Consider the following 25,478-nt stretch of genomic DNA (forward strand, 5'->3'; position numbering starts at 1 on the left):
CATTCAAGAAAGGTTTCAGGATGTTTATAGCATACACATACAATAATGAACTATATATTTTTAGATTTAATTTTGCAATATTTTTAAGAAAAGCCTGATTTCTAGGGCTTTGTATTAAGCCCACCGTAATAATTAGATTAACCTCATTATTTAGGCGCCCCCTCCCAACTCCACACTGATTGGCTGGCTTTTTACGTTTCCCAAGGGTTATTGCTCTCTCCGGACTTACTTCCTTATATCTTGCTAAGATACTCCCTCTACTGTAGCTGAACTGAATCAAAGGAGAAAATAACCACAAACTTATTTCCACCCATTCCTCCTTGAAATTGCTGGGTATAGTAACATTCCCATTTCCTAGTATGTTGCACTAAGAGACCATACTACATCATAGAAAGTCCACTGACTACACACCACAAAATAAGAACTATTTAAAAGTCATGCCAAAGCTGGGGTTTGTTGGAAATGCCTCAGTTCTTTTATAACTCAGTTAACAGACTGCTTGTGTCATGCCATCAAACAATTCTGCTTTTTAAATGGGCCTGGCAAGTATGTCAGCCTAAATTATCTATGTATTTCACAGACTTCAAAGTACTGCCTGGAGAGGGCTGATCTAAGCTGCGCAAAGGAGGGGCGGCTAGCTACAATTCTATAAGATGAAAGAACACGCCAAATGATTTTTTAACAGAAAAGAAAAAGGAGTGGTACATGATGTCCCCTTGTAAATGACTATTACATATAACTCAAATTTTTCAAATAGGCTCCTGTTTGGTATAGATCCTCTTCCACCAAAGTACCAATGATTAAAAACTAAGGTGTTTGGTTATGTTATCATACATGGCACAGACTGGAAAAGAGCAGAGTCTTCCAGAGAAACTTTCCACTCCTATTCTCACATTCACCTAAAAGCCCAAAGAAAGATGCTAGGAGAAAACCTATTGGGAGACCAAAACAGCTTCTAGAATAATCAGAGGCTGATGTGGAGCTTGAGGTTAATAGTCTGGCCAAATTCAGAAAATAAAACAAAGCAACTTGATTCTTCTATTCCATCCAACAAATTTATCTCACATTGGAACCCACAAGACTATAATTTATATTGCAAATTTTATACATCTCCTGAAGAATTTCAGTGCAGGCCTAAATGATTCACAAATGCAACAAGAATCTTGTGAAGACATAATGCCTCCAAAAATCATATCAAATGTGGGTAAACAGGAACCTTTCTCTTGGTAGGATGCTAAGTTTGTAAAAAATCCTTTTATGAAGAGAATTCAACAAATTATCACACATTTAGATGTTTACACCTATGGAATGATCAATTCTAGTTCTAAAAATACCTATTTGTATAAAGGTACAAGGACATTTCTTGCAACAGACATAGTTTAGCAAAAGTTTGGTAAAAATCTAAACATTCATAACAATCTAAGCAAATAAATTATAGTACATTGATATGATGGAAGATTATCCAGCCATTAAAAAGAAATGAAGTTGATAGAATGTGCTCAGAGGAGAAACAAGGTGCAGAACAAGACAGGTAAAGTATATCCCATTTGTATAAACATTAAAAAGTATTTATCCATTATCTATGGCTGTAAATAAAAGCATAACATATGCTTGTATGAGCACAGAAAAGGGCCGGCAACTAATTCTAAGAGTAGGACTAAGGAGAAGTTGGATATTAAAAAAAAAAAAATAAGAAAAGATTAGAATTGCTTTTAAATTAAAAATACATATTCATGAAAGGTCTTAAAACATCACAAATATATTTTCAATTTTTTTAAAAAGAAATAAAGCTTAAGAACAATTTTCCTTAAAATGCCCTCCTATATTATAGCACCAAAGTACAGAACTTCCTTTTTAAAATAGTGCTGAAAAGCCAAGAAACAAATATGAGGAAAAATCTATGACCTTCTCAACGCATGAAGGAAAAAGTACGTCCTTGTGGGTTGGCTTTTATTTAGTTAATGTAAACCTGGAATGGATTTTTTACCTATTAAAAAAAAAACACAATATTCAATGCATGACAGGACACATTATACTCACGTTAGCAGATCTTAACTATGTGGAACCAAATGTACTAAAATAACTTTCTATATTAAAAATGATGTATTTACACAGTTAAGATGCCATCATGTATGCAAATGTGTTACTTCAAAAATTGTTAATGTCGATGCTCCTTACACCCATATTTTTTGAATTAATAATTGGAAATTCTACATGCCAAAAATATGAAATGGTGAAATTAAATTAATCCAGACTGATGACATAAGCTCTCTTTGGAAAACCACATTCCACATGTGGACGCTAGATAATCCTCCATTATTTGAGGGCTCCAGAATTACTGGATAATTTCTCAGAACTGAAGTATTTCACAAGCCCACAATGAAAATGCTTTTATTGAGTTATTTTTAAGCATAGAGTTACACAAAAACCTTTAAAGATCTGACCGCTATATTTTCGTAACTTATAAGACAGATACACAAACACCAACATACATATATGATACAAACCAATAGCAAATTGAAAGAACAAACCAAATCATAAAAGAACAGTGAATTAGGTTTGTTCTGTGATGGCCTTGGTGGTCAAGGGAGGAGAAAGGAACAAGAATCTTAAACATATATTGTGACTAAAGTTTAAAAAAAAATTCTGTATTTCTACATCCAAACTAAGCAGGTAAGAAGAAGTAGATCATTCGCTCATTTAGAAAAGTTTCAGGGAAAATGTGAAATTTTAAAAACTATTTTGTCAGTGATTTGAGGGGTAGAGGAAATGTAGCTTGCACCAGGACTACAGCAATGCTTTAGAGAAAGTTAATAATGCTCTGAGCAAAAAGTGAAGGCTTAGCCTGCTTCATGAAGAAAGTGACACTAACTGGAGCCCTATGAACGGTCAAGAGGCTTTAACCTATCCTATTCCATCTATGTTTATTAAAATCCAACATTTTGTAAATGTAGTAGTTATAAACAAAATGCATGGCAATTTGATTTTCAGGGTTCTCCACAGATATATGTCAAATTGACAATTGGAGGATTGTATCTTACTAAATCTAAATCACCCTCTTACATTGCAAAGCCAAACCAATCTTTCTTTGGCTCTTGTTCCTTTTACACTTAAACTCACTCAACCCAGTGATATGTTTTCTCTTGCCATTTCAGAGAGATTCTATCTATATACATTGGCAGCTTCAGTGACCATAAAGGAATAAACTGCAATCACAGAAGTCAATCTGTGTTTAAGAAAAAGCCTGAATATTGGATTTTGCAAAATACAGTTGCTTTTCTGGGCATAAGGATTAAGAATTCACAATTAGGTCCTTTGTTCCCCAGAAGTCATTTTTCTTTTAAACTATTTTGTTTATAGTTTAGTTGTTCCTGACATTTAACAGAAAAAATTAAAATGTTAAGGATTTAAACCAATCACCAACCAATAGCTCACACAGCAGCCTGATATGGCAGCTTCAATGCTGCGTCTGCTGACTTCCTTGTTATCAACTGAAAAATTTACCCCACAGCAGAGTCTGCATTCAACTTCTCATTCCAAAAGCATATGCCACTCTGCCCAACAAAATGCATAAATCAGCTGAGTCCCTTGAGTCATGACTAATTTTTTAAAATGTTGCAGCAACTTCATATCTAGAGTCTCAATAAATGCAGTGGTTGGCTCAGCCTCAAAGAACCTGAATGTGTCTGATTTAGAGTGGAAGTCTTAATGCTCAAAAAGTGTGCCTGATGCAGTCTCTAAACTGGCAGCCTGACGGCCTCATACAACACGGATGGTCAGTCAAAAAAGTCTACATTAGAATAAGAAACTGTCCAACGAGGTCAAGCATGAAAATAGGGCTAGGAGTCTTTCATCTACTCTTACAGGAATACTGGTCACATAAAATGTGTGGGAGGCATATCGAAATCCAGTATGGATTCTATTTTCATTTTGGAAGACATGCTTGCCCACCCCAAATTGATACAAGGCTGGGAAGGTTGGGTTTTTCCTTAATATTAGAAAACAAGTTAATGGCAACTGTTGCTCCCTTCTGAGCTACCAAGGGGCAACTGGTACATTCTCTCAGCATTATCTGTAAGAATCTGCTCACAGGTTTGTCTCCCTTAAGACTGGCAACTCTTTCTCTGATATTCTAAAGCAGTCTCTAGCAATGAAAAAGAACTTAAAAATCTTTTCCACCAATGTGCTGTGCTGAATGAGACTGCCTTGCTCATTCTTGCCACTCTATCTCTACTCTTTTGAACCAGTAGTTTAGGTACTGCTCCCACCAATGAAAATCTGAGGAATTTTCACATCAACTGGAAAACTATGGTTTAGACTTTTTTCTTCAAAAAAGTTTCATTATTTAGAAGGAAATTGCTAATGTGAATCCAACAGAGAAAAATGGTTACTGGTTTGAGAAACAGTAAAAACATGTTAATTCACTCAAAAAAAGTAGGTGACGAATTACTCAAAAAACAACATTCCTGTTTCCATAAATAAATTCCCACATTCGTCTGTTTTAGTTTTCTTATTCTAAAAATAAAAAATAGAAAAAATAGAAAATAAAAATTAAAAAAAAAGCATAACAGAACCAATTAAGTCAAAAGTTAGGATAAGAATTGGCCCCAAGTGCCTCAGCAAGGTGACATTAGCCCTTTAATGGACAGCTAAGGCTTTCAAGTCATTCTAGTAAAAAATTCCCATAAACCAGGATGCTAAATTATCTGAGCTTAGGAATTGTAAATATCTTAACAACAAGACCAAACACCAACAGTTCTTATTACGTGGCTAGAACTTTTCAAACTGCAATTTCATTTAATCCTTATAACATATCAATGAAATAAGTGCTATCATTATTCCCACTGTACAGATGAGAAAGCTGAGCCACAGAGAGAATAAACAAATTGTCCGAATTTAAGCAGCTGGTAAAGGCAGAACCATGACTCAAAGCCAAGCACTCTGGCTGCAGAGTCTCTCTATGGAACTGTGGTGCTTTGCTGCCTCCCCTGTTGTCCTCTATGTACAGCAGATGACAAGTAGGGAATCCATATGTACATTTTTAGAATACTCCATCAGAGAAGCTCATTTTGTTATGAAACAAAATCCAGGCCTACCTAAACAGAAAACATACTCCAAATAAACTAAAGCAAACCTATGTTTTCAAGATGGTAGACTTACCAAGCACATTTACCTCCCTTCATTTCTCAAATCCCATTGATGATGGAAAACTTTTTAAAAAAAGAATAAAGAAGAATGGTACAAGACAACAGGCAAAAGTAATACCAGAAATGAATCAATGGAGAAAATAGAGTGGTGTAATTATAACAAAAGACAGATATAGAAGAGGTTTCCTACAGAAATAGAACTATCCTTCCCAACGAAACAAAGTACTGCAGAAACGCAAATCTAAAAGATATATGAACTGAGTTTCTGGGATAATCACCTAAGTAATTTGTTCTTTCTTTCTTTCCTTTCTTTCTTCTTTTTGGGGGGGCGGGGGGGCGCGTGGGGGAGACAGGGTCTTACTCTGTTGCCCAGGCTGGAGTGTAGTTAGTGTAAACATAGCTTACTGTAGACTCAACCTTCTGGGCTCAAAAGGTTCTCCCACCTTGGCCTCCCAAAGTGCTGGGATTACAGGCATGAACCAACACACCTGGCCACCTAGGTGATTTGTTAGAAGATGGCCTATAGCACTAGCACTTAAGAACAGCTCTCTCAATAGGAAGTCATCCTAAGCATAAGCCTTCGGGCCAGAAAGAGAAGCAGAGTACAGTCTACACCTGGGCCTTTCCAACAAACACAAATTAAAACAAAAATAGCAAAGGCACCACTACCCAGGACTAAAATACTGCCAAGTGCCCCATCCCTACAACAGCCCCAGCTTCCTCACCCGCACCCTCTGCCTGGTTGTGAGCATGCCCAGCCCCACAGAACCGTGCATGGCCCTCAGCGAGCCCTAGCAATTAGGGAAGAGGCCTACTGCTGAAACAGTATTACAAAACTTTTGAGGAAACCTAGTGTAATTAACCTAACCCTGATTTATAAATGTAACCATATATTTATAAACATGAACAGATCATCAAGGATCAAAACAATACAAAACCCAAAGAAATAAGATGAATGGAAACAACTCAAGGCTAACAGAAAAATTTGACAATGGAATTATATCAAATTCTCAGTTATCTCTACCAGTGGAGGATTTAAGGCACAAGAACACTCAAAACTATTTGCAGCTGGCACTAAACATGTTTTCTGATTTCTATTATAGTAAATTTACCACCTAAAGAAAATTCTACATAGTGATATTAAACACGAACTTTCATTCTCTAAGGATGTGTGACTGAGATCTGTACTATGGCTCCAGCTCCAAGTTCAATATTTTATGCAGCCCTGGGCAAATTACCACTTTCTGTCTTAATTTGCCAATCCATTAAATGGGACAATATTGGGGAACAGATGGAATCCAGCCTTGGCTGGAGAGTTTGCCATGGACAGTAGTAGCTCTGGTCATACCTCTATAATTCCTAAGATAGGTCGATTTACAGTCAATAGTTGTGACTACTTTGGAAAGTTAAGAATGATATGTTTATCCTCTTCTGGAGAAATTGAGAATAAGGTCTCTGCTTTTGTCAACTGATTCAAAAGAACACACTCTGAATTCTGCAGAGTCTAGAGTAAGCATCGCTGCATAAACACTGCTAGTAATTGATCTGTTAAATCCAGAAACCAAGGAAACACAGCAATTGAGTCACTTAAGGTATTGCTCACCAAGGGACCAATGCACATACAGCTTCGAACAGTCAGATTTGTATCAGAGACTGGAGATGTGGAGTTTGAACAAGACTGAATTCCTTGGCAATCAAGTGGAGGTACTTACTAAATATATACTCATTAAATAACCACCAACCACCACATTCCAAGTGTTGGACCAAGCAACCCACTGTACTAACAAGCCCAGGGCTTACTCAAAAGTAACAAAAACTGGTAAAACACATTCGCAGTCACTGGTACAATGGTAATGGTGGACAGTCACTGCTAAACTAGAATGACATGATATCAAGTATGTTAAGACAATATGCATATAAATCACGCCATATAAGAAAATGTTCCACAGTGCTTGTCAAGTTGAGGTTTTAACAGTAATCTTCTTAATTATTAAATTCTTTGTTGAAAAATGCTTTCCATTAAAAGAAATGAGAGACATAGCAACCAAATAGCTGGACCTTAAATTCTGATTCAAATAAATTAATCATGAAAATTAAATTTATAAAACAAAACTGAAGTGGTAGTGCTTATCTTTTAGAAATACATACTAAAGTAGTTGGGCGCCAGTGGCTCATGCCTGTAATCCCAGCACTTTGGGAGGCTGAGGCGGGTGGTCAGAAGTTCGAGTCCAGCCTGGCCAACATGGTGAAACACCGTCTCTACTAAAAACACAAAAATTAGCCGGGTGTGGTGGCACATGCCTTTAATCCCTGCTGCTTAGGAGGCTGAGGCACAAGTATCACTTGAACCCAGGAGGCAGAGGTTGCAGTGAGCTGATATCAGGCCACTGCACTCCAGCCTGGGTGAAGAGTGAAACTCTGCCTCCAGGAAAAAAATAAATAAATAAATACATACTAAAGTGTTTGCTGATGAAATGATACAATGTCTATGATTCATATTAAAATAATATGGGAAGTTGATAGTGGTATAGATGAAAGAAGCCTGTCCATGTGTTGGTAACTGTTGAAGGTGGGTGCTGGGTACATAGGGGCTAATTATACTATTTTTTCTGCTTTTATGTATAGTTAAGGTTTTCATAATGAAAAAAATGTTTTAAATACACAAATCAAATCAAAGGTGACTTATTCTTACCTGTATTAGAATCTTTTATTACAATGTCAGAGATTTCAAACAGTTTCAGTGGAAGGGGCATCTTACGATTTGCTGCTATGGTCTTCAGGAGGCCAGGAAGAAGGGTAGTGCGTGCCACCTACAGGAAAAGACATGAAATTGCACTGACCAAATAGGACCCAAACAAAGACACTTGGTTAAAGACAAAGACCATGGCAGAAAGACTATGGCTTCATAGGAAGACACTTCTGGAAAATGCATTGCCCTAAAATATCCAAGTCACTTTCAATTTTCAATTCCAGGACACTGAAATTGAACTGAAAAGAACTGAAAACATTCTGGCTTCCAAATTTACAAAATGAAAAATCATAAATTTGATTAAAAAATAAACGAGAAACAAATACAACCTAAATATGTTTGCTTATATCTAAGCCTTGGTTATTTTATTCATTATCATTCATTATTTTATTTTTTCTTTTTTTAGAGACACAGTCTCACTGTTTTGCACAGGATGGAGTGCAATGGGCACAATCATAGCTCACTGCAGCCTCAAATGCCTCAAATGGCTCTAGTGATCTCCTGCCTCAGCCTCCCAAGTAGCTGGAACTACAGGTACACACCACTGCACCCAGCTAATTGATTATCATTTTAAAAACTAAAGTTTGCTTTCAAGATTTCAAATGCATGTTTGCAAGTTTTCATATCCTGCCTCATTTCACAAAGTAATTGAAATAGACTACAAGAAATACAAATGTTTAAATAGATTAAATATAGGTCAGGCACAGTGGCTCATGCCTGTAATCCCAAAGCTTTGGGAAGCCGAGGTAGGAGGAACACTTGAGGCTAGTAGTTCAAGACCAGCACGGGCAACATAGCAAAACACCACCTCCACAGATTTAAAAATTAGCTAGGTATGGATACATGCCTTTAGTTTCAGCTACTCGGGAGGCTGAGGTGGAGAATTGCCTGAGCCCAGGAGTTCAAGGTTACAATAAGCTATAATCATACCACTGCTCTCCAGCCTAGGCAACAGAGAACCTGTCTCTAAACAAATAAATAAATAAAACCATAAATAAATTAAATATGAATTAATCAGAATTAGGACCAGGAAAAATGTAAATGCAATTAAAATATCACAATGAGGAAAACAGAATACAAATATGTAGGTGCTAAAAAATATATACAGCTGCTATGGGTAGGCTGTAACTACAGTTCTAAACTTTTTATTAACTAAAGCAAATGTGAAAGAAAGCATGTACAGTCATTTCATTCTTCCTATTCCTAAGAAATGCATACCCTGGTACATTAAAAAAAAGCAAAAATTTCCTGCTTTGTCTGTAAAACATATTTCTCCCTGTAAGCTATACGGAATATATTAGCTTCCAACACATGTTACCAGAAGAGTTTTATAAGCAGTGGTGTAACATTATTGTGAGAGTCTGGGCTCTGCATTCAGACCACAAGCACTATTATCTTTTCCCCAGACTACTGCATAACATTCTTAAGCTGGCTTCTGTGCTTCCATTCCTGCCAACCTGTGGCCTATTCTCCATACGGAGTGGTCCTTTAAGATGGAAATCAGACCATGCAACTCCCCTGGTCAAAAATCTGCAAGAGGTTTCCATTAAATTTTGAATAAAATCCATGGCCTACCTGGGGCCCTATGTGATGTGCCCTGACTCCCTCTCTACCCTCAACCCCTGCTGCTTCCGCAGGCTTACTGCACTCCAGCCACACTGGAGGCCACACTGGTCAGCAAGATTTCCATCCTGGGGCCTCCATGCTTACTCTGCTCCTACATTCTTCCTCTAGGTTCACATGTGGCTTCCTTCCTTCCTTCAAGTGTCTGCTCAAATGTTCTCTCCTACAGAGGTTTGCCCTGAACACCCAAGCTAAAACACAGACACTCTTAGATCCTGCACAAGTAACCATAAGACCCTAAATGGAATTGTTAGATTGTGTTTTGAATGAAAAAGAGAACGTCTTTCCCATCACACTCACTATACCAACAAGCTGCTACTCGCCTTCAACTTGGTGCTTCTTAAATATTATTCATTTTCCCCATTGGAGGGCAAGTGCCCAAACCATTCACAAAAACAAAACTACAATGTTAAAAGTTAAAAGGAAATTTAACTTATTGAAATATAATAAACAAACTACTGTTATAGAAAACTTTTCTTAATTTTATCAGTGTATTTTATAGATATGCCTTATTTGCATATTTAAAAACCTACAGAAATACAAAAAATTAAACCTGAATCTGATCAAGCTTCTATATCCAACTACCAATTTACTGGAAATTTAGGGGGCCATTGGAACATATTCAGCAAAATCCTAAATGTAAGAATTCTATAGGACAAATGACTCAGTTTCTTCAACAAACTGAAAGGAAAAGAAAGACGGAAGGATGAGAGGTGCAAGTTGTAGATTAACAGAGACATGAAAAGCATATAAATCAATGTCAATGTATGAACCACATTTGAATCCGAACTCAAACTGTTAAAAAAAAAAATTGATGGGAGGCCAAGATGGGCGGATCACGAGGTCAGGAGATTGAGACCATCCTGGCCAACACGGTGAAACCCCGTCTCTACTAAAAATACAAAAATTAGCTGGGCGCGGCAGCGCGTGCCTGTAGTCCCAGCTACTCGGGAGGCTGAGGCAGGAGAATTGCTTGAACCCAGAAGGCGGAAGTTGCAGTGAGCCAAGATTGCACCACTGCACTCCAGCCTGGCAACAGAGTGAGACTCCATCTCAAAAAAAAAAAAAAAAAAAAAATGACAATTGGGAAAACTAAAACAATGACTGGATATGTGAGGTGATTAAGGAATATTATTGTTAATTTGGAAGGGGTGTGGTAATATTCTGTAAGTTTGTTTATTGTCACTATAATAAAATTTTACATATTTTAGCCAAGTTACATTTTTATCTTGCCCATTCTCCAACATATTTACTATCAAAAAAGAGCCCAAAGTTAAGAATTATGCAGGAGAAGGAAAGGATTTAGACAAGAAACTGAGTTATAGGCCCATGAAGAACTTTACATTTAACTTAACCATAAATATAAACCTCTTAGCCAAATTAATGATGGTAGGACTCACCTGTTGGTAAAGCAAGGTAAAATATAGAATCTGTTAGGTCAAAAGACAGGCACTCTCTTTGATCTTTAAGGTACTTTATGCAGAAAGATTGATTCTTTTTTTTTTTTTTTTTTTTTTTTTTGAGACGGAGTCTCGCTCTGTCGCCCAGGTCGGACTGCGGACTGCAGTGGCGCAATCTCGGCTCACTGCAAGCTCCGCTTCCCGGGTTCACGCCATTCTCCTGCCTCAGCCTCCCGAGTAGCTGGGACTACAGGCGCCCGCCACCGCGCCCGGCTAATTTTTTGTATTTTTAGTAGAGACGGGGTTTCACCTTGTTAGCCAGGATGGTCTCGATCTCCTGACCTCATGATCCACCCGCCTCGGCCTCCCAAGAAAGATTGATTCTTAAGTGTGCTAAGCCACAGCTATTTATAGTGACATTTAATGCATTTCTGATTATTTTCCTTCCACTTATATAAAATAGAAAAGACAGGATGTAAATCCTGAAGAACATAACAGTTACCACATCTTAAGAAATCTATCAAGCTTCACTAGGGGAATACAAGGCGAAGAGAGAGGTGGGGAGCAAGAGCTGAAAAACTACCTATTGGGTACTATGCTCACTACTGGGTGACGGGTTCAGTCACACTCCAAACCTCAACATCATGCAATATACCTTTGTAATTAGACCCACGCATGTACTAACTGAATCTAAAATAAAAGTTGACAAAAGGCCAAGCGAGGTGGCTCACACTTGTCATCCCAGCACTCTGGGAGGCCATGGTGGGTGGATCACTTGAGGCCGGGAGTTCGAGACCAGCCTGTCCAACATGGTAAAACCCCATCTCTATTAAAGTACAAAAATTAGCAAGGTATGGTAGCACACACCTGTAATCCCAGCTACTCGGGAGGCTGGGGCACAAGAATCGCTTGAACCCAAGAGGCGGAGGTTGCAGTGAGCCAAGATCAGGACACTGCACTTCAGCCTGGGCAAGAGAGCGAAGCTCTGTCTCAAAAAATAAATAAAAATAAAATAAAGTTTTTTAAAAAAGTAATCAAGCTAGATAAGTAAAACTGGGAGAAAAAGGTACATTTCGAATAAGCAAAAATCCATTAAGATTTACTGAAAAATCATTCTATGCAAATGAATTTGAATACCTCTTATTAAAAGGAACACCATGGGCAAACTTTAAAAGCAATAGGAAACTAGACCTCAGAAAATAAAATATAACAACTCATTACTACAATCCTTCCAAAATTAGTATAAGGATTCTTCAAAGTTCTGACCCTAAGTATAGATAAAGAATTCATATACTTGATATATATTACCAATTAGTTCTTTAATTAGTCTAGCTCTAATCTACAACATTAGCAGGTGGTTCTATAGATAAACTTTAGAATTTTTAAATTTAGTTTTAAACACTTTTAGAACTTTTAGAATTCTTTTTAGAACTAACCCAGTCCCTTATTTTTGTAGAAGTAAAAACCAAAATCCAAAGAAACTATTTCAAATCAGAATTCAGATATTATTTATAATAGCATTAACCTTCTTTAAAATATAACCTTCCAGTTCTAAGATTCCCCTTGATTCTAGAAGAAGACATGATTTTCTCTAAAATCTAGGTTAAAAAACATACAGACTTGCATATGCAAGAGAAACAGCACAAGAGCTTATCAGTATAAAAGAGAACTATTTAAAGTTATTAATAAGCAAAGATGTTATAATCTTAAAATGCCCTCCCTTTATAGTTAATATCCTAGTCTATAACACAAATCACTTAATACTCAATATTAAAGCAGTATCATTCTCATTTAAATATTCCTAACCTCTAAATGAAACTGCCAATAAACTTAGACAATTACAATAAAAGACATAAGCAGCACAGTCAAGAACTGATATAATGGGCAATTTCAAAGTGAATGACTTACGAAGGAACTGGGAACAGGTTTTGATTCATTTATTACAAATGAATGGAAAAGAGATGAAACCTGGCTAGGTGCTCATGCCTGTAATCCCAGCACTTTGGGAGGCTGAGGTCACTTTGCGGATCACTTGAGATCAGGAGTTCAGAACCAGCCTCGCCAACATGGTGAAACCCCGTCTCTACTAAAAATACAAAAAATTAGCCGGGCGTAGTGGCGGGCGCCTGTAGTCCCAGCTACTTGGGAGGCTGAGGCAGGAGAATGGCGTGAACCCGGGAGGCGGAGCTTGCAGTGAGCCGAGATCCCGCCACTGCACTCCAGCCTGGGCGACAGAGCGAGACTCTGTCTCAAAAAAAAAAAAAATTTAGCCAAGCATCGTGGCATGCACCTGTAATCCCAACTACTTGGGAGGCTGAGGCAGCAGAATCGCTTGAACCCAGGAGGCAGAGGTTGCAGTGAGCCGAGATCGTGCCACTGCACTCCAGCCTGAGCAACAGGGCAAGACTCTGTCCCAAAAAATAAAAATTAAAAAAAAAAAAAAAAAATGAAATCTGAAAATAGTATTAAAAAATCAATTATGAAATGGAAAGTTCAGACAAGAGAGATTGGGCCAGATAATACAAAGCAAGTAAGAACCCAGTATGAAGTTAATCAAGAAGATATTATTTTTAAAAGTGTAAAGAATTTTTGGCAGCAAAGCACGTAATAACCAACTATAAACTTACCCAAGAAGATATTATTAAAAAGCTCTAAGATTTCACCATCTCAGGTATAATAACTGAAGAGACTTTTCCTAACTCATGTACTACCTCTAGGTTTTTACATGAATTCTCACCTACTTAAAATTCTTACCTGAAATTCAGCTGTTTTAGGATTACTTATGTGGACTGCCTTTGTTGCAGAGATATCCACACCTAGTTTATCAGCAATATCTTCTTGGGAGCACTGTGAAGTACACACAAAACAGATTAATATGGAAAAGCAATTACTTAAGTTTAAAATAAAAAGTAATGCTGTAAGTCAACTTCTAAGAGCAATTTATATTCTCTACACATATCAGCAAGTTAAGAATAGGCCTGGTGTGAGCTGAAGTAAATGTAATAATAATAATAATAAAAAACAAACAAAAAAAGAATAAGCTAACAATAAATACACATCAATCTCAGGCCCATAGCAGATGGAATTTAACATTAATACTTCTTTCACAATGAGTCCTAGCCATCATACAGAGCTAAAGTAAATTTTTCACATGGAGATGGTATAAACTGTACTCGGGCCCTTCCTAAGCTAGTTTCCCATTTACCTTTCCAATCTAATCTCCCATGATGCCCTAGCCATTCCCTAAACCTTATGTTTCCCTACCTTACCTGAAATGTCCTCCCAGCCTCACCTGCTACCATTCCCTAAGGCTGACTTAAATGACCTCTCTTCCATAATATTCCTAATGACTCTAGTCAGAAACTTTCTCTCCCTCCTTGGTATTTCATGACTTTCCATTTTGACTACCATTATAACCCTTGCTAAATCCATACTGACTTGTGGCAGAACAGTAGGACTGACAACAGAATTCAAGTGACTGGAACTCTGCCCAGTGTTCTTTACTGTATCACTTAACTTCTGTGCACATGCCTGAAACTCATAACAAATAAACTGCTGAGTACCCACCAATCGAAGAGAAAGATGCTTGCCACCCTCAGAAACCAGCATTGTAGGCAGAAGTTATGAAATTAAAAACTCACTGACGATTAGATACATCAAGTCTAATAATAAATGATATAATGAGATAATGCAAGTATGGTGCCTGGCACAGAGTAAGCACTCAAAAAATACCAACAATGATGATAACTGACAAATCATTACTAAGGATAAATTATTATCATGTATATTAATGCTAGCTTTTTGAAAAAGCATTTAAAACGTAACACAAAAACTGATGTACCATCAGATTATTGTACTATTGTCCAATGTTAGGCAATATTGTTCATTATGCTGTTCTACAACTAGTTTTCAAAGGCTAGTTGGCCTGTATTTCACTTATTAAAACAAAATGATACACATCAACTGAAATGGTAAAAAGAATTCATTTCATGTCAATGTCAGTTCTAGTGATTCTTGCCATGCTTTCTTGAGAAAGATCCTGAAGCCACATCCAGCCATAGCAGAAAACAGCTCCCGGATCTGCTACAGCTGCTGAGATGGAGAATGGTGACATGCACACTGGGGATAAGCGTTTTCCCCACAGCATAAAGAAGTTTTACAGCAAGACTTAGGTATAATGTGACTGATTAATTATGAAATGCAACTGACATGAAGCAATCTATTCTCAAATGAAACTAGTCCTCTCTGTGTAAAAGAAAAACACTCTGCAGACACATGGCAACGCAGCTGTGTATCTGAGTGAACTTGTATTTTATCATGGCAATGGATAATAAGGGATAGTGACAAGAGGCAATTTAAATTAAGCTACCCTGAAGTGGCAGTAGTTAGTACACAGTAAGAAACTTTTTTTTGTTTGAGACAGAGTCTCACCCTGTCGCCCACACTGGAGTTCAGTGGTGCAATCTCGGCTTGCTGCAACCTCCACCACACCCGACTAATTTTTGTATTTTTAGTAGAGATGGGGTTTTGCCATGTTGGCCACACTGGTCTCGAACTTGTAGCCTCAAGTGATCCGCCCGCCTCGGCCTCCCAAAGTGCTGGGATTACAGGCATGAGCCACCATGCCTGCCAGGAACTTTTTTAATGTTAATATTTATGTGTTTATTTTAATGTGTTAGAAAAATACAACAAGTAAATGAACCTTATAGTTTTTACAGATATTATTCCTATAACAAGGCTGAAGTACATAAGCCAACTTAAAAGTGAGCCAATTTAAAAGAAAATATTACAACTACTATGCAGATATAGCAAAAATCAATATGATGAAGTGTGAATTATTTACACTTAGAAAGTCAGAGACTAGGCTTAAAAAAATGGCTGTTACTCTTGTGCAAAACTGGATTTAACAACATAGACCATCTTTGCTCAGCGATGCTTAGGCTTGCCTATAAACATCTTTATAAACATCTTTAATGTTGAAATTCCTACAGGAAAATTTAGTACAAATCTGAAACCCTCTAGGAGCTCACTCCTTTCTCTTCCCCCCAGTGATAAACATTGAATGTATTAAAGTGACTTTGGACAGCTAAACAGACTGTTTCTAACATCCCTGGTGTGACAGTTCAGTCACAGGCCTTGGATGCAGACAGGCATGGGCGGGAATCCCTGATCCACAGCCATGGCGTAGGACAAGTTACTTAAATTAACTGCTGTGAAAGACAGGAATGCCCACTTCACAGGAGTATACTGAGAAGAAATGGAATCATGTACACAAAGCCCTTGGCACAGGGTAAACATTCCCTGCAGAGCAGCCACTAGTCAAGACTCGGCCTCTGTGCTCCTTCGAAGACACATGAGGCTCTAAGGTCACAAAATCAAACTGGCAATGGATATTGTAATAAGTATAAAGTATAAGTATAAAAAGGATAAAGTAATAAGTAACTTTTTTCAAACTGGCACCACTAATATAAAAGGGCAGGGAAAAATGCATACCCAAGTTTTAACAGCAGTTGTTTCTGGGGAGGAAAAGAGGATTCGAAGTGGGGAAAAGAACTGTTATGGTTTAATCTACATGGTTAAAGTATGAGTCCTTTAAAATAAGATGTATTCCTGTGACACTCATATGTTTTAAAAAATAAAAATATATTTTTCAATGTTATTTTTGGTACTTCATTTTATATGAAATCCTGGATGCTCACAACTACAAATGTGTGTATATATATGTGCAAAGATGAATGACATGGCATTACAGACCTAGTGTACACGGTATGAGACCATGGAAAAGCACTGTTCTAGGAGGCTAAAGGTCAGGACCCTGCTCATGATATAATGAGATCATGCAGGTATGGTGGCCTGGAACACAGCAGTTCTCCTGCTGTCCGTGTAAAATGTGCTACGTACTTATCCTCTCTCAGCCTCAGGCTTCCTCATTGGTGCAGTGCCTGACATATAATAAATGCTCAACAAATGTTGAATGAATGACTCCTGAATCAGAAAAATCTTAATGCTTAATATTTATTAAGCAAACTAGAAGTAGAGTCCCTTAAATACTCTAAAATATTGAGAATTTCAGAGGTAGGGCTAAGTTGCAGGGGAGAAAAAGAAGAAGCTTCCTTTCCCCTCATAGATTAAACATACTTGAATGCTCAAGAACTACATTGCAGGCACCACAGAAATGCTCAGCAAGAGGGAAAAACGGAACTACAAATTGCATACACATTTTATTCTTTCAAATGGTCAATCTGGTGGGGGAGGGAAATTTCCTTCTGATTTTGTAATAAAAGTCATTTCCTGATTTAGGCCTTTTATGTCAGCTTTTCAACTCAAAGCAAATGTTTGTGAACATGTTCAAAGACAAAGAAATTAATTTAATGTGGAACAGTCCACAAGCCTTTACCCAGGACGGCATCTAGTGGGCACAGCCATAACCAAATTAAGACCAAATATTCTAACTTAATAAATTTGGTTATGAAATACATTGTGAACTCTCAACACTCACATGAAACTATAAAATACTTTGTCATCTCTCATTTGAGGTATTTTTTTCTAGGCCTTCATTTTCTTTTGTGGCTGTAAAAACAAAAGCTTCAACATTACTTTACCAGGAATTGTATAATCTCAAGTAACAAAGTTATTCTTCCAGAATCTGGAAGTTCTAACAGTCTAGATTTTATAAATTCTTATAAAGCATCATAGAATAAATAATTCAGAGAGTCTAAGTAAATAATCATCTGGGCAGAAAAAGCATGTAAGACATACCAGGGCAAAGGTAAGTGCTTCAGTGAAGCCAGCGGCTGCCATGTCATGTCGGAGAAGTTCAGTGAGCTTATTAAGAGGAAACTGAAAAAAAAAGCATCCACTTGATTTCACCGCAATTATTTCTTGTTTTTTAAAAGGGAGATTTATACAGAACATGCCATTAAAACTTTTTTAAATAAAAATGTTTAAAAGATTAAAAACCTTTTCACCCTTACTAACGTACTGCTAATGCCACTATTTCCCTATCAATATTACCTCCTCCCTCCCCACCGCTCTGCCACCCCTCTGCTCCTACACAGATGTACAAACCACCCCCACTTCCATCTCTCCCACACACAGCTTCTGCCTTCAGGCCCAAGTTGAGAAAATGAATCTCTGAGAGATTCAACAAGGGCTCCAAACTCAAAACTTGTCTTTCTTCAAAGAACTAGTCATCACAGGTTTTCAACTTACTCTAATCATTTGGGCATCTGTTTTGTATCCTCTCCACAGCAAATGCCTCTCATTGCAGAGCATGTCCAAATACTGCTTGATTCCTACGTTCTGTTTTCTCGAAGCCTTCCTGGCATTAAATAATCAGTTTCTAACAATAAGGAGTGTTTATTTAAGGGTGCAATCTTACTTGATTAGCTATGGTGTAAGTTTTCGGGAGAGTCATCTGAATGTTGTTATATCCATAAGCAATAGCTGCATCTTCTACAATATCACATGCATGGATAATGTCAGCTCTGGTTGGAGGGATTTCAATCTCAATCTGATTCCCATCACCTATGACTTCTGATTTTAAATACATCCTGGTCAGAAGTTTGGCAAGATTTTCTGGAGTTTCTCTGAAAAAGGAATGAACAAACCATAAACTTCATTGGATTATTTTTTTAATGTTTACATTGTGTTTCAACATATGCTACTAGCTGAAACAGTAACCTTTCTTTTTGAGTTCTATCAGAAACCAGATATCTTAACTGATGTTTTATCATTCCTTAACAGACTCTGAAGGATCGCAAAAAAAAAATTAGTCATACGTGTACTTTGTTCTTGAATTAAGTGAAGTTTTCAGAGCATACCTGATTCCAACTTTTTTGTTAATTAGGTCAGCTCTCACCATCTCCTTTCGGTAAGCTAATTCCTTAAATAGAAAGAGTTTAAAAAGTAAATCATTTCCCATCAGATACAGCTTTAGAGTCTTTTCCATTAGTCATTATTGCAGTTCTATTACGTTCCCAAGAAATTGTCATTAGAGCCACACATTGAGAATAAACTTGATGTTTCAAAAACAGTATTATGAGGGATAAATTTGCTATATTAGATTCATATATGAACATTCTACTTGCTAGACAGTTTGCACTGCCTGGAAATAATATAAAATGCCAAACAATTTTCCCTTTCAGATAGTCATTCCCCATTCCCCACAGTAAAACACTGTTGTGCTACATCATTCCAAAGACGTTTATAAATCCTGCTAAAGATTTTCAGTCTCGTCCTATGCAAGCAGATGGATATGACCAAGAAAGAGTAATTCCAATATCACAGTGTCCATCATACTAAGTCTAAGAGCATGATGAAGATATTCCTTTCTTACCATTTCCAGGTGGAGAAATGCAATGATGAATTTGGTACTCAGTCTCCTTCAAACAGTATATAACTCCACCGTATTAGTGAGGTGAGAACACACACACATAAATCCCAGGCTTTTCAACACCTTTGGAAATGTCCTTATGAATATTTCTTATCACTCATTCACTCTCAAAAGTATAACATGCCACTAGCAAAAAGGCCATAGATTTTAAAACCTGTTTTGATTCAAGTAAGGCAATGGTCTGGAACCTTGCTACTCAAAATGCGGTCCTCAGAGCAGAAGCACTAGCATCACCTGAGTGCTCGTGAGAAAGGCTGACTGCAGGTCTTGATAGCTAGTGGCAGTGACACCAGAGCTACTGAAGCCCAATCTGCACGTTTTCAAGATCCCCAGGTGATGAGAATGCACTGCAGGGTTTGGGAGGCACAAGGTGAAGATTGCAAAGTAATAATAACTTTTCTCAATAGTTACTATGACCTAAACAGTTATTATGAGCTGAACAGTACGAGATGCATTTTAAAGATAATCTTACTTAATCCTCACAACAGATGCTATTAGTATTCTCATTTGACAGGTAAGGAATTTGAATTTTAGCTGAATAACTAGTTCCAGGTCAGAATAGTAAACTGCCAAGTCCAAGTGCTGCTATATGCCCAGTGCTTATTATCTGATTATCAGATAATAAGCGTTTGGTATATGTATTTAATAAGTGAATGTATGCATACAAGAAGTAACAAATGGCTGGGCGTGGTGGCTCACGCCTGTAATCCCAACACTTTGGGAGGCCGAGGTGGGTGGATCACCTGAGGTCAGGAGTTCGAGACCAGCCTGGCCAATGTAGTGAAACCCCATCTCTACTAAAAATACAAAAAAGTTGGCTGGGCATGGTGGCACAAGCCTGTAATCCCAGCTACTCGGGAGGCTGAGGCAGGAGAATCGCTTGAACCCAGGAGGTGGAGGTTGCAGTGAGCTGATGCTACTGCACTCCAGCTTGGGTAACAGAGCGAGACTCCATCTCAAAAAAAAAAAAAAAAAAAAAAGAAGTAACTAATGAACAAATTAATGAATTAATAAATTAGGACAACCTAATTCCAAAGTACACACCATTAACCATTAGTCTGACTACTGACAACTTATCTCCCCTAGTTCTCTTATTTTAAAACTTTATTTTTTTCTATGAAATAACAAAACACAAGAAAAAAAATTTTCAGAGTTTGAGAAAATATGCTATTTCATGTGAGAAAGAATCAGTTTCCCCCAGAGGATCCTTCCCTAAGAAAAGCTGTTCTAATTTAAGTTTAGGAGGAAATAAATGAACAAATGCCAAAACACTCATGCAGTACTCCTTTTCAGAAAGCCCACCATTTCAAATTTACAAAAGGTCTCTATATTACAAATAAATGATTTTAAGGGTTTATCCATATGAGGAGAAGAGTGAACCAAATATTAAAATATATTTCTCCTTTTCTTCCCAAAAATATATAATCACTTTTATTAACACTTGACAAATCATCATATTGAAAAGAGGCTGGATGCGGTGGCTCACACCTGTAATCCCAGCATTTTGGGAGGCCAAAGCGGGCGGATCACAAGGTCAGGAGATCAAGACCATCTTCTCTAACATGGTGAAACCCCATCTCTACTAAAAATACAAAAAAAAATTAGCCGGGCGTGGTGACGGGCGCCTGTAGTCCCAGCTACTCGGGAGGCTAACGCAGGAGAATGGCGTGAACCCAGGAGGCAGAGCTTGCAGTGAGCCGAGATCGCGCCACTGCACTCCAGCCTTGGCGACAGAGGGAGACTCCATCTCAAAAAAGAAAAAAGAAGAAGAAGAAAAAGAAACTTTTCTCTGGCATTATTTTAAAACCATCTAAAAAGCTATGTCCAGCTAATCCCAATTGCTACTGTCATAAACTGCAAAAATGGCCACAAATTTCTCCCCTCTCTGTATCCATGGCCTTGCAATGTGACACTGCCAATCTTCCAATCAGGAGATGACATCTATTTCTCCACCTGTCAAATCTAGCCAAATGACTGGCTTTGGCCAACAGAATAATGTTTGAAAAATGCCTGGGCACTGGGCATGCTCTCTTGCTGCTAGGAACCCTGCAACCAACCCCAAGTCAAAAAGCCCAAGCTAGCCTGCTATATGATGAGGGACATGTGAGTTGTTGACCCCACTGCCAAGAAGCAGACGTGAGTGAGGCCATCCCAGATCATCCAGTTGCTAGCCAACCAGTCAACTGACTACATATGGGTAAGCCCAGCAGAGATTAGCCAAACTTGCTCAGACCAGGAAAACCACCCTATTGACCAAAAGAATCATGAGATAAATAAATGGTTGTTGTTTTAAGCCACTAAGTCTTGGGGGTAGTTTGTTAAATAACAAAAGCTAACTGACAATAGATATTTAATCCAAATCAACTTTTAAAAACTAATATTGCCTATATAATTTCAGTTATGCTTCATACAGTTATGTTTCTTTTGAAGTATAATTAACACTCTAGAATAAAATATGATGCTAAATGTTAATGTCTTCCGGAATGGGGAGGTTTTGATCTTAGCAGGTTTCATCTACTGTAAAAGCTATTTAAATAGCAGAAACTATTTCAGGCTGTGATTTACTTCATAAATGGCAAGGGAATAGTGAAAGATTCAAAGGGGAAGGAAAAGCTCATCAAAGAATGCTCTCACTGAATGAGAACCACGAAGTGACTGTGATACTGTTATGTTTTAGAACAGTCATCTTTATGTCAAGTCCCTTGGGGACAAAACCACCCAAGAATAATACTGGTTTAGATTTTTTACCAAGATCTTACGCTTGAAAATAACTATGTGGTTACTACTAAATTAGTCTTAATAATACATTTGAAATTATTTATTAGTTACAGTGATGCCTTCAGCAACTGTTAATTCAAGCGTGAACAGACTATGTTCGGAGGGCTGAGTAATCTTAAAAGGAGTGAGACTATAAATTACTTATTTAATAAGTTCTATTGTTCTACAGCACTGTAGGATGCTACAAAATAATTAACGACAATTTATTGTATATTTTCAAATATAGAGGAGCAGACTACGAATGTTCCCAACACAACAAAATAATAAATGTCTGATATGATGGATATGCCAACTACCATGATTTGATCATTACATATTATATACATGTATAGAAACATCACACTGTACCCCATAAATATGTACAATTATTATGTGCCAATTAAAGAATAAAAACATTTTTTAAAAAACTACTCAGTTAACTAGTTAATAGAATAAATCATAGGAATTATGACCACACAATGTTGTTGTATAATGTTGTGTTTACAGCTGCTGTCAAACTGTCTGAATTTAGATCCTAGCTCTACCACTTAAAAATAATAAGCAAGGTATTTAACATCTCAAGGTCTCAGGGACTCCATCTGGAAAAAGCTTAATAAGAGCACCTACCCTCACAGGATTATGGTGAAGACTAAATCCATGTAATGCACATAGTGTAGCGCCTGGCACACGGGTGGGTAGGTAGGGGATGGATAGACAGACAGAACATGAGTGCTCTATAGCCATTATTATTAGCATTGTTGTCATAATCATGAAGTCATTTCTTAAGCACTTACTGGAAAGGTATGTGATTTTCCATTAGGAAAAACCACTTCAGCAGCTTCGACCCTGAAAACAAAAGCCAGAAATAAAATACTTAAGAAAAAAATGTGCCATAAATTACAGACATGAGTATGGTTATCAAATCTTTCATTTGGGCTACAACTACAGCCTCAACATACTCCATCTATCGCATTCCAGCACTGTTTGGATTGATCTTGCTATAAACAATAATACTCTACTGTTTCATCTCCTAGGGCTCCGATGTCCTTTTCAGGCACCACCTACTTGAAAGGTTTATTTTCCAGTACTGCAAAGCATGCATCCGACAGGGACTCCTTGCCAATACTGACACACACATTCTAGGCTTTACCAGGGCAGTGTGTTACATAATAAAACTGAAAGAATCACTGAAATGAAAATCAGTTGAAAAAAAACTGATACTGCCCATATAATTTCAATCATGCTTTCTACAGTTATATATTTATTTTCAATTATATTAATATTCTAGAATAAACTATGATGCTAGTACCAAGGACCACATAGATGTGTTAAATAGTTTTTTAAACTAAAAATATGCTTTGGAAAAAATACAGTAATCTTACCGACATGGGATACATGCTTTGCTCTTATATATGCTTCTCTACCTCTGTTTAGCTGCTCTTTTGCTGTTCCTCCATCTATATATTCTCAAATCCAATGATCCCCAAACACAGCTTAAATTTCATTGCCTCCATGAAGCCTTCTCAGATTGTATCAGCTGGCAGTAACTTGCCCTTACAAACAGCCGGAATATCACCAAAACTTTTTAAAGTACTTAATGCTTATGACTTTATCCAATATTTATGCGTATGTCTTATCTCCCTGAACAGATTATATGTTCTAGTTATAGGAACCACATTTTTAATCTTTATATTTGTTTATTCATTCATTTTTTTAAAGCCAGTGTCTCATTCTGTGACCCAGTCTCAAGTGCAGTGGCACAAACATAGCTCACAGCAGCCTCGACCTCCCAGACTCAAGCAATCCTCCTGCCTCAGTCTCCCCAATAGCTAGGACTACAGGCGCAGGCCACCAAACCCAAGTAATTTTTTAATTTTTTGTAGATATGGCATCTTCTTGTGTTGCCCAGGCTGGTCTTGAACTCCTGGGCTCAAGCAATCCTCCCGCCTCAGCCTCCCAAAGTGCTGGGATTATAGGTGTGAGCCACCGCACCTGGCCTATCTTTACATTTAGCACAAAGCCTCGCCTTCAGAACAATGGGCCATCAATAAAGGTGCTGGATGAACTTACGTAAATTGATTCTCACAATATTCACTGAACATGGTGACAATAATATCAAGAACTATTTTTGCCTGCAAAGAAAAGAAAAACAAATATAGTAATCTATAAATATATTCTCTTCACTCAGATGGAAATGAATTAATATTTAATATAATTGTGTCCTCACATCTAATGGACCTTTACGTATACATTTTAAGAAAGGAAGTGGAATAAAAACATGAGTAGGCCTAGCCTTATCTTCAGGTGTTCTGCATTTACGCAGTTCTCTGACAGTTATAATCCATGACTGAGACAAATCGTTTCGTTCCCCAACCCCCAACCTCAGGTTCACTGGGCTTCAACAGAGACAAATGGCTAATTACTGGAATAAATCTTAACAATCTCCTAAGTCTCTGAGGCCAGGCTGCTTGAATCCTGGCTCAAGCACTTATTAACAGTATGACACTAGGCAAACCACTTTTCTTACCTGTTAAGGAGATAATGAAAATTCCTATCTTGTCTGGTACTTACAAAGATTAAATAATTGGCATGTAGTAAACACCATATAGATTTGTTAAATAATTTTTCTATTTCAAAAAAAATTCTTAGAAAAAAAATACCGTGACCTTATTGGAATATATGCTTTACTCTTATATAAATATTTCACTCCTATATATACAGGCTTCAGGAAAGACATTCAAGGTCTGTAAATGCACGAATTAAATTTTTTAAAAAATTAATATTAAAAGCTGTACTACCCTGACAATATTTCTGAAGGCAAGGAGTACCTAAAAGTTATAAAGGAAATACCTTACAATGGTCTCTAATCCTATAAGATGTACATGAATACCATTTATTTGCCCTATTTCTATACTCCAGCCTTCTCCTGCCATTTGAGGTTACCTTTTTTAAATTGTTTAACTGCCACCTCATTTAACATATGTAAAGAAGTCATATGTCATAGAAAAAGCTTTCATAGCAATCCATTCCAATAGATGAACTGACTCAAAGTGGGTGAAGAATTATATTCTAGATAATTTTGTGTGCATAAACCAACCATCTATCAATTTACTAAATAAAGCTTCTTCATCGCCAGTTCCTTTTTTTTTTTTAAGATTTTAACAAGTACACAAAGGTACCAAATTACTCCGCATATAAATTAAGTCAACTAGATAAACAATTTATATGGATTTCGCTATAGTACTCATTCCATTTTGTGTTTTATAGTTACGTATATGACTAACTCTCCCCCTAGGAGTTCTTTGAAGTGAAGAGACATGTAACTCATTATTAAATTCTTGGCACTGGAAAGACATTTGGTGCTCACTAAACATTTGTCGAATTAATGAAAGCACCATAACCAAAGT

General features: G+C 37.3%; 1 protein-coding gene across 4 annotated transcripts in view; it reads right to left on the reverse strand.

Annotated features, from left to right (window-relative positions):
• Positions 1–25,478, reverse strand: part of FARSB (phenylalanyl-tRNA synthetase subunit beta) — an 89,194-nt gene that overhangs the window by 39,073 nt on the left and 24,643 nt on the right. For all 4 annotated transcript variants that reach the window (NR_130154.2, NM_005687.5, XM_011510466.3 and 1 more), the window contains 7 exons: positions 24,142–24,203; positions 22,866–22,917; positions 18,743–18,804; positions 18,301–18,508; positions 17,679–17,759; positions 13,674–13,766; positions 7,840–7,957 (listed from right to left, as the gene is read on the reverse strand). Coding sequence is in view for 3 of the 4 variants with exons in the window: in NM_005687.5 (NP_005678.3) it covers positions 7,840–7,957; positions 13,674–13,766; positions 17,679–17,759; positions 18,301–18,508; positions 18,743–18,804; positions 22,866–22,917; positions 24,142–24,203 (676 nt within the window). In the remaining variant the exon portion in view is untranslated. The remainder of the gene's footprint in view (positions 1–7,839; positions 7,958–13,673; positions 13,767–17,678; positions 17,760–18,300; positions 18,509–18,742; positions 18,805–22,865; positions 22,918–24,141; positions 24,204–25,478) is intronic.

Source organism: Homo sapiens, chromosome 2 (genome assembly GCF_000001405.40).
Source record: "Homo sapiens chromosome 2, GRCh38.p14 Primary Assembly".
Taxonomy (NCBI): domain Eukaryota; kingdom Metazoa; phylum Chordata; class Mammalia; order Primates; family Hominidae; genus Homo; species Homo sapiens.